Consider the following 10,785-nt stretch of genomic DNA (forward strand, 5'->3'; position numbering starts at 1 on the left):
TTGCTAACCTTCTAACAACTCTGCCATTGTAGCATGTACTTGATTTTTTTTTTGACAATTATTTCTTCATTTTGATAAATAATACTTGCAAAAATGGTATTTGGGGATTGGAGGGCAGAAAATAAAGTGGTTTTTTAGGAGAAGAAGTGATACTAGTTTAATGCATCCTTGATAAAGAAAAAACTTTGCATTTCCCTTCTTTGTGGAGAAATGACAGTTTTAAAAAGGGAAAGTAAAGCTAAAAGAGTACGCTTCTGTATTTCAATGTATTCTTTACATGATAATTAGAATTACATAATCTTGAAAATCAGAGGAAGATTTTGGAAGATTTCTAGACCAAGATACCAGATTTGTCCAATTTTCTTTCTAGAAATGCTTTAGTTTGTATAATTTTTTAAAAGTTAAAGTGAATTAAGACATAGTTTTGGAAAAATGCCCAAGTCCTGCCAGTATTTCTGTCTTTGATGAAGAAATAAAGTTATTTAGGGAGAAGGGCCATCAATAAGAAGTCACAGCATTGAGTTCGTTGGATGAGCTGAGCCAGGGCACAAAGGCTGGGCTACTGAATTCTGGTGAGAATGTTGACTTGGCACAGGCCCAAGGTTGTTCTCATTTCAGTACATGACTGATCCACTAAGAAAGACCTCACAAAAGATACATGATACAAATCATACAGGTCTATGACAAAGTTACCTGATATCTCCCATAGTTCTCATATATGTGCTTTCAAATTAAGCAGCCAAATTAGATTGTAATACAACATGTCAGAAGATAATAGGGTATTTTTAAGCAGTTTGCCTACTAAATACCCGACTAGGTGAAACACCATACTAGCATACAAAGTATACCTGCAAACATATAAGGCATTTCTTTTGACTCACTGTTGCATCATTTCACATTTTATTTTAAACTGTGTCATTTGTCTTCAGCAAGCCTGTAATGACCATCAGTGTTGGTTGAGAGCTGCCTTTAAAGGGTATGAAGAACATTGCTAAATAGATGAATAATACTGTTTCAATTAAAACCACAAAAATGTAACTCTGAGGAGGTTTTTCTGATTACTCCCATATTCTCAGAAATTAGAAAGATGCCTAACACATAGTTACCAATAAATATTTGCGGATTGACAATTTCCAAACTGGATTTGTTGTTTTTTTTTTTTGAGACAGGGTCTCACTTCGTCACCCAGGCTGGAGTGCAGTGGCACAATCTTGGCTCACTGCAGCCTCCCCTTCCCAGGTATAAGAGATTCTCCTGCTTCATCCTCCCAAGTAGCTGGGATTACAGGCGCACACCGCCACATCCAGCTATTTTTTGTACTTTTAGTAGAGACGGGGTTTCACCATGTTGGCCAAGCTGGTCTCAAACTCCTGACCTCAAGGGATCTGCCCGCCTCAGCCTCTCAAAGTGCTGGGATTATAGGCCTGAGCCACTGCGCCCGGCCGACAAACTGGATCTTTTCCAAAAAATAATTAAATAAAATCATTAACCTTAATAATTGTGAAAGATTGTGCTTTCCAAAAATGCTATAGCAATATTTCTAATACTGTTTGTCCTTCCAAAACCTTGCCATTCTTCATCAAGAAGCAGTGTCTATTTCTACTCCACTTCAAACTGGATGAGTTTACGACAGGGTTGGGCATAGAGGATGGTGGAAAAGATGCAACATGACAACCAAGGCTGAATCATAAAAATGGTAGAGCTTCCAACCAGCACTCCTCTCTCTCATTTCTCTCTCTCCCATGAGTGTTCACCATTGGAAAGTAGCCAACATGCTGTGAGGAAGAGGGAGCTACATGCAGGAGCTCAATATAAGTGTTTTGAGACAGCTCAGCCAATGTCTCAACTGCCAACAAGCATAACCACCCAGCATAGGAATGGATGAATCTTTATTTCCAGTCCCTAGGCTTTGACTCTTCTGGCTGAGGATTCAGATACAATGAAGAAGAGGCATACTGTGCCCTGTCCAAATTCCTGACCCATAGACTCTGTAAGTATAAGTGGTTGTTTTATACTCACCAAGCATTTTTTGACAGTTTGTTCTATAGCCATAGTAACTGGAAAAATGATTAATATAATTTACAAAGACTCATGAACACTAGACACAGAAAAAATGGAAAATCTAAATTCTGTTTGTCATTAACTAAAGATATTAACTTTCACAGTGCTATTATAAATATTTTGACATAAAAGTTTTATAAAATTTTTACAGTTGACTGCTCAAGCTCTTTGTTTAAGCTTCAGTGTTTTAGCCATCCTAGTGTTGCATGTATATGTGTCTAGATGTATGGCTTTTATTATTCTCATCACTCTGACTGCAGTATAAGCTCCTGAACGTAGCGATGATATCCATTATTTTGATCAACATTGTATTTTCAGAGTGCTTGAAAAATAGTACAAATTCAGTACATATTTTTTAAGCAGAACAAGAAATATCCTTTTGTATAATTTCTATATTTTCTTTTCTTTCTATAGTTTCTTTTTTCATCTAAGGTTGTAAACTTAATTTTTGAAGAGTTGACTCCCCACCAAATTATGCGTTTCCTCATTTTTCAACTTATATCAGTGGTGAATCCTAGTCTTCCTAAGAATTATAGTTGAATTTTTGTAAAATTGTCTGTATTTTTTATGGTTTTGCTAGGATAAATTATTTGACTTCTTTGCTAGAGGAAAACTGTGCTATTCTCTTCCAGTAAGTATTCTCGGTTGGAGAAACCACTTCTGATTTACTCCTAGGCTAGTTAGAGACCAAATGGTTGGCCATGGGCTGCTGTGTTGCTGTGAGGCCTGAACTGCCTGCCTGTCATGAATGGCATTTGTCCAACTCATGGAGCATTTCATCAAACAGGCGAAGTTATGCCTGAGATTGGGCACAAGTAAATAATTTTCACCACTAAATGACTCAGATTCCCAGAGCATATACTCCTGGTGCATTGTTTTCCTTCTCACAACCTGCATCAAGTATTCTCTATGAACAGTTTACTGAAGACGAAAAAATTGCTCCTGGCTTTCAGACTGGTCTCCACAGTATTCTGTTACTATCCAGCAGCAGACATCTGAAGGACTGCAGTCCCACTCTGGTGTCATCCTGAAGAACAGTGATGGGGGAAATGCTCTGCATCCTCTATCATGTGGGCAGCACTTTTGAGCAGGGCACTGAGTGATTCTTTTTACCTAGAAAGAGAGATAGCCATAGGGATCCTCACTGATTCAGAAACAACAGACCATTGTCTGGCTCAATCCTCAGGAAGTTGGAGGGAATATATTTGGAAAGTTGGGGAAAAGGTTTTAAGAAAAGGTATAGAATGACCTTTCCAAAGCGGCACAGAGAGTGAAAATACTTGCATTTTATGTAAATACTCACTAAATAGCAGTCTTAGTAGCAAAGAGTTTTAATAGTCAGATGGACAAGATGAGCTGTTAAGTAGATGCTAGGGAGCTTCTTGCATCAGATGCCCCTAAACTCAGCCAATGGCCTCATGAGCAAACTGTGCCTGACAACAGGAATGGGCATTACACATGGACTCAGCTACATGGATTTCCTTTCTCAAAATCAATCTGGTTACCACTGTGGATTGCTTAGCTTACCAAGAGCAAGCCCACAGCCCATGAATGGCACCATTTTCTCAGTAGACAATCCAGCCACTTAGCAGGTTTATTACATTGGGTAACTTTCTGCAGTGAAATAGATACTTATTCTAGATATGGCTATGCCTTCCAGGTTGATTACATTGGGTAACTTTCTGCAGTGAAATAGGCACTTACTCTAGATATGGCTATGCCTTCCTTCTTTGACCAAAGTACTTCTGCCAAAATCTCCTTCTGTGAGATTATCGAACACGTTATTCAATGTCATCGTATTCCACACTACATTGATTCTGAACATGTGAGTGATTTTGTACCAAATGAAGTGCAGCACAAGCACATGTTCATGGATTTACTGGTCCTACCATATTCTTTATCATTTTGACATAGCTAAACCAATAATAGAATGGTGGGAGGCCTCTTGTTTATTTTTTCTTTTAATATTCAATGAGTTTCAAAATGTGATTTAGTTTAGGTAAGTTTTAGATTTACAGAAAATTTGAGAGATAGTACAGAGAGTTCCCACATCTCATTTCTCCCATTATTAACATCTTCCATATAATACATTTGTTACAATGAATGAACTAATATTAATAAATTACTGGTAACTAAATTCATGCTTTATTCAGATTTCCTTATTTATTAGCTTCCTCAAGTGTTTTGTCTTTCTGAATGACACTAGTGGCTGGTGACACTTTGTGAGACTGAATCAGCACTGAGAATGTGGTGCTCGTCCTCCCATCACTGGGATGTACTTGTGTGGGTTCGAGATGTGGAACTCAGAGTGGCTCCTTTTCTCATTACCCTAAAGACCTACCAGCAATATTTTTGTATCCCATCTTTGCGATTTTGGACTCTGCTGATTTCTCCCAAAGATTAAATGCTTTGACCAGAAAATACAATGGTTTCATTAAAAGCTCTGGAAGGATTCTAGTCAGTAGGCTCCTCAGGCCAGTGAAATCAACTGGCACATATAATTGCTGCATAGGTTAGAGTGATTGTTCCTTGGTATCAGAAGGAAGTTGAATCTCTATTACACAGTAGGAGTAGGAAGAAGCCTGGAACTCAGGAAATCCTTCTTAGTTCTCTCAGGTCCTTTGATAAATGTAAATGTTAAATTATATTAGCCCAATACAGGCAGAACTTTTAATGAACAGACCCATCGTTGATGAAAGCTTTGGTTACTTCTCCAGGTAAAGAACCATGACCAGCTGATGGACTTTCTAAAAGTGAAGGGAATATGGATAAAGAAATAATTTATAAATAATAACTACAACCAAGTGAATAGTTATAGAAATGAGAACTATAGTACTTATGAATATTTGTTCGCTGTTTTAATATGAATATGTTTGTGTGTATACCAATTTTCTTTCATTTTCTCTCCTTCATGAATCTATTTTTAACCTTATATTTGTTAAAGTGGATCATCCTATATCTCAGTATATATGTTGTATAATATCAAATGACTCAGCTAGAAAAATGAAAATCACCCGATGATCATGTCACAGAACTTTACATACCCTTTCTTTTATTGCCATGTTTTTGATTGTATGAGGGATAAATATGTCATAAGTAATTGAGCATAATTTTACTATTGTCATTGTTTGAAAGTTAAAAATTGTGGAAACAGGTACCTGGATGCCATCTTAACAGAAGTTGGGCTATACTGGCTCATTCTATTATTGACTTAATTTAACTAGAAATTATATTTTCCAGAATTGCTTTTACTGTTTGATTCCAAGTCACAGTTGTACCAAAGAGGAAGCTACGTCTGATGTGGAGGGGCAGAAGTTATGCAAGAGCAATTACTCTTGGAAGGTTGCCCTGATTCCATGGGAAACTTGACTGAAGCCAAAGTTCCAGCTTGCCTCTCCCTTTTCTGCAATACTCCCAGGTGATCAACAGTGGCCCAGACTTATTACCAGAAACCCTCCTCTGAATCACAGAGGCGGCAGCTTCCCAAAGACCACTCCACCAGCAATTTATTTGAAGTCCCACTTCAGCAGTTAGACAGCCTGGGCTTCTTAGTTTGCTTTATTGGTAACTCCTCTTACACCCTAAAGTCTCCATTTAGATTTCCTCTTTACCAGGTTTTCCAACAATTTCAGCAAGCAAGGTCTAAATCCTTTATGAAATCCATTATTGAATATCCCATATATGTTCTACTTTCTTGACTGAACCTTGTCTATTGTATGCATGAAAGAATGCAGATCACTTGCAAGGACAAATGTGTGGGTAGGGATCAAGTACGTTTGACTAAATAAAGCAACACTAATAACTATGTTTTACGGGTTTTATTACATAAATAGTAACAGAATATCTATGATAAGAATGGAAAGGAGGGATAACAATAAATGGAGGAAAGTTTCTTGATTCATTTAGGAAATGGTAAAAGTATCAATTTAAAGAAAACTGCAATGAATCAAATGTGTATACGAAATTCTCATGAAGCCATAATATAAACACTAACCCAAATGAGGAGATAAAATAAAATAATTTAATAAAAACTTGCATTATCCCAAAGGAAATCAGAAAAGAGGGGAATCAAAAAGAGAGAGAAGGTAATTTTTAAAAATCAATGAAAATATGATACAGTTAAAACCAATATATATCAATAATTAAATTAAATGTATCTAAATTAATTTGTCAAAAAAAAGACAAAGATTGTCAGGTTCACTGTCAAAAAAAGACACAACTGTTGGTTGTTTATAAGAAACACAATATAGAGGACACAAATAACTGAAGTAAATACATGGAAAAGACACAGCACACAATATTAAAAATATGTTTTTGTGACTTTATTAGGAATTGGGCACAGAAGACTTTAAAACAAACAGTATTAGTTATAAAGACAGATAAGTTACAATGATGAATGAGATAATTCAAAAGAAAAATATTATAATCCTAAAATCTTAAGATCTTAAAATCATATCTTCAAATTTTGTAGCTAAAATTGTCAGAACGAACATAAGAAATAGACACACACACAGACATTGTTGTAAATTTTAACACATTTCTCTTAATAACTGATAAATGAAGCAGAAATAGTAGTAAACATACAGAAAATTGAAACATGATTATTGTGTTAACCTATTTGACATTGAAATAAAATCTCCAAGATGCATTACTTTCAATTGCAAATGGAACATTTACTGAAAGAGACTACATACTGTACCGCAAAACAAATATCAACCAATTGAAAAGAATAGAAACATACAAAGCCTGTTTTCTGATTACAAGTGAAATAAACAAAAAAATGAATCAAAAAACAAATCCTAAAAGTACTTCATATTTAGAAATTATGCGACACCTTCCAAATAATCAATGAAAAATGAGAAGACGAAGTAAGAAATATGGTGTACTAATTTTAAAAATAAATAAAAAGTAGGAAAACAAATGTGATGTGGCCAAAACAGTGGCTAATATAATAAATTTGCAGCAAGAAGTATAAAGAACAAAAGAGGATGAATACACATTACTAATATAAGAAATAGAAAATTGGACAAAAATATGTACATATTAATATTACATGCCTATTAATAATCTGGGACAATTGTAAAGAAGCTTTTGAGTGAAAAACACAACTTAAAAAGTCTAATAAAAATAAAAACAGAAGGATCTGAAAAAAAGTATGTCTGTTAAAAAATTTTAATTCCTAATTAAAACTCTTTCCACAACAAAATCTCCAAGATGGCCTGATTTCTATCAAACATTTAAGAAGCAAATTCCAAAGTCACACAAATTCTTCAAGAAATTCATGGAGGAAGGAACACTTCTCTACTTGTTTTATGAAGCCAGCATAATTCAGATACTGATATATGAAAAGTAGTTACAAAAGGAAGGAAAGAAGGAGGGAAGGAAGGAAAAGAAAAGATGGAAGGAAGGGAGGGAGAGAAGAAAGAAGGAAGGAAGGAAAAAAGGAAGGAAGGGAGAGAAAGGAAAAAAATTACTGACCAATATCTCTCACCAGCATTAACTCAAAAACACAAAATATTAGGAAAATGGATTCACAGAAATATCAGAAAAGTAGTACACCAACTGTTGCTTTTCTTGGCAATGCAACTGAGTTTAACATTGAAAAACAATCAATCAGGCCTGGCGTGGTGGCTCATGCCTGTAATCCCAGCACTTTGGGAGGCCAAGGAGGGCAGATTGCCTGAAGTCAGGAGTTTGATAACAGCCTGGCTAACATGGTGAAATCCCGTCTCTACTAAAAATACAAAAATTAGCTGAGCATGGTGGTGCATGCCTGTAATCACAGTTTCTCGGGAGGCTGAGGCAGGAGAATTGCTTGAACCTGAGAGGCAGAGGCTATAGTGAACGGAGACCTTGCCACTGCACTCCAGCCTCTGTGACAGAGCAAGACTCTGTTAAAAAAAAAAAAAAAAAAAAAAAAGAAAAGAAAAGAAAAGAAAGAAAAAAACGAAAAATATCTATCAGTGCAATGCACCACATTAACAGAGTATAGAGAAAAACACTCAACAGGTTCTGAAACACATTTTCTAAATTCAAAACATATTTTTAATAAACCCCCATAGGAAAATGGAGATGGAAAGAGACTTTCTTATTTGATAGAAGTATCTACAAAAGCTACAGCTATCATAATTGTGAAATTGTGGTAAAAGGACAAAGATGACTACCGTGGCTTATATTAAACTTTGTGCTGAAGGTCCTAACCAAGGCAATAGGACATGCAAAATAATTAAGCAGTATAAAGATAGGCAAGAAAGCACTAAATAAATCTTTATTTGTAGTTGATATGGTTGTTCACATGGAAAATACAAATGAATCTTAAAAAAACTGGTTATACTTAATAAGCATCTATAAATTCACTAAATGAGTCAATTCAGCAGAGGTACTGGATTCACAGTCAATATACAAAAGGTAATTCTAACTAGCAAAAATAATGGGAATTTTAAAAAACACTATTTATGATAGCATTAAAATTTTAAAGACCTATAATTCAGCCTGGCAATGATATGCAAAATTTATATATTGAAAACTACAAAACATCACTGGGAGAATTTAAAGAAGCTATCATCTTGATGGATTGCAATATTCAGTCTTGTTAGGATGTCAAGTCTCCCCAAAATGTACTTATATATTCAATGAGATCCAAACTAAAGCTCCATCATAATTTGGAAATTTACAAACTGTTTCTAAAATTTGTATGGAAATGCAAATGGTCTAGAATAACCCAGAAAATATTGAAAAAAATAGAAACAATAACAAAGTTGAAGGACTCACAGTATACTTCACAACTTATGTATAACATAATACATAAATAATATAAATAATGGCCCATGTGCAGAGATAAAACAGATACTGAATAACTTAAGAGAAAATTCTGGGGAGCTATTAGGCTTCCAATATTTGCCGGCATGTTTTTTCATTTGTTCGTTTGTTAGCTGTTTTTTTTTTTCCCTGCTGTTTTGTATCTGTTTTCTTTATAATAATGAAAGCTTACCGTGAGTATGTTCTGTGGAATTTCTGAGCTTCTTTTTTTTAATTATCTGACCCATGCAATCATTGCAAGACTTAAATAAGCATCTAAAAGAAATATAAAAATTCTCAATAGGCATTTGAATAAGTGTCCAGCATCATTAATAACCAGGAAAATGGAAGTTAAAACCTTGATGAAATGCCACTATAAATACATTATGAGTAAAACAAACATGCCCAGAGCAAATTGAGAATATCTTTTGGTGGCAAGGAGGAACTGGAACTCTTCTATATTGTTAGTGGGACGATTGACTGGTACGACATATTGGAAGCCTGTCTGACAGTATCTATTAAAGAAAAATATATGTCTATTGTATGTTTCACCAATCCCATTCCTATATATATATGAAAATGGGATAAGTACCTCCCAAAAGGTCTTTACAATAATGTTCCATTGCTTCATAATATGAAGAAATTGGAAAAGTTCCAAATGCCTAAAAACAAGTATAAAATAAATTGTGATATATTCGGTTACTATAATGCTACACATTCTATGGATAAATGCGTCAATAAGGTTGATTTTAATGATACTATGTTAAACCAAAGGAGTTAGACAATTGAGTACATTGATAATTCCATTTATTCTACTTTTAAGAACCAGCAGAAGAAGTTGAGTCATAGAAGTAAGAATAGATGTAAACTCTGACCTGGGGGTGTTCACTAAAATGGGGCAGGGGGTGAGTTCTGGGTTGCTGGAAATAGTTTATATTTTAACCTAAGTATGGTTAAATAGATTGACTTCCATCACCATAAATCAAGTAATATTATATAGATTAAAGTACTTAAAACAAATACCTTGATATTATAACAGGATGAAACAAATCAGTGAAACAAATAAAAGCAAACAAATTAACACGTTATGCTAGCATTATTATGAGACATTTCAATTATGTGGGAAAAATTATTTAAAAAATGATTTGGGGAAAACCAGCTGTCATTTAATAATATAAATTGTCATCACTCAAGGTAATATTTTCATTATATTTAAATACTAATAAAACAGTGGTCAAAGCATCAGAAAAATAGAGAATGAACTTTTTTAAATCAAATAACATACCTAAAAACAAGTTCTATAATACAAGTTTAATCAATTTTACCACAAGAAAGCTAAGAATAATCTGTACAGTGAAATACACCATTAATAAAATATAGGCTATTGATATGCTGAGAGAAAATATTTGCAACGGTGTGTTACAGATTTTTGGAAATATTTACCTGCTAGCCCCAAGCAGCTGGGAAAGTGAGTACCTGGTCTTGAAGAAAGAATTCAGACAGTACAAGAAAACATCCACCAGGCATGTGGGAAAAGGTGTCCAAAGCCACACAGGTAACTACAGGAACTAACACATTAATACCAGTCACCTTTGTCCAAAATTACTTCATTAATATAATTACAAAACTACAATGGCCCAACAATTTCTCTTGTATATGTGGTACAATTTTATATAGTGGGCTAATAAGTATATGCTCAGACTACTGCTCTCATAGGAGTCAATGTGAAACATAAAAGAATGATTTCATTGAACATGGCCTTCTATAATATGTATGTTTATAATTAATGAGAATGTCACTATTCTTGCTAGTGTTTTATAAAACTTAACTCCTAAGTCTTTACATTATCATTGTGAGGAAGGTCAAGTCCATTAATTTTGTTCTTCTGTTCTGAGAAACTGTATCATAGGGAGAGAACAATGATAT

The sequence above is a fragment of the Homo sapiens genome, chromosome 8, assembly GCF_000001405.40.
Source record: "Homo sapiens chromosome 8, GRCh38.p14 Primary Assembly".
Taxonomy (NCBI): domain Eukaryota; kingdom Metazoa; phylum Chordata; class Mammalia; order Primates; family Hominidae; genus Homo; species Homo sapiens.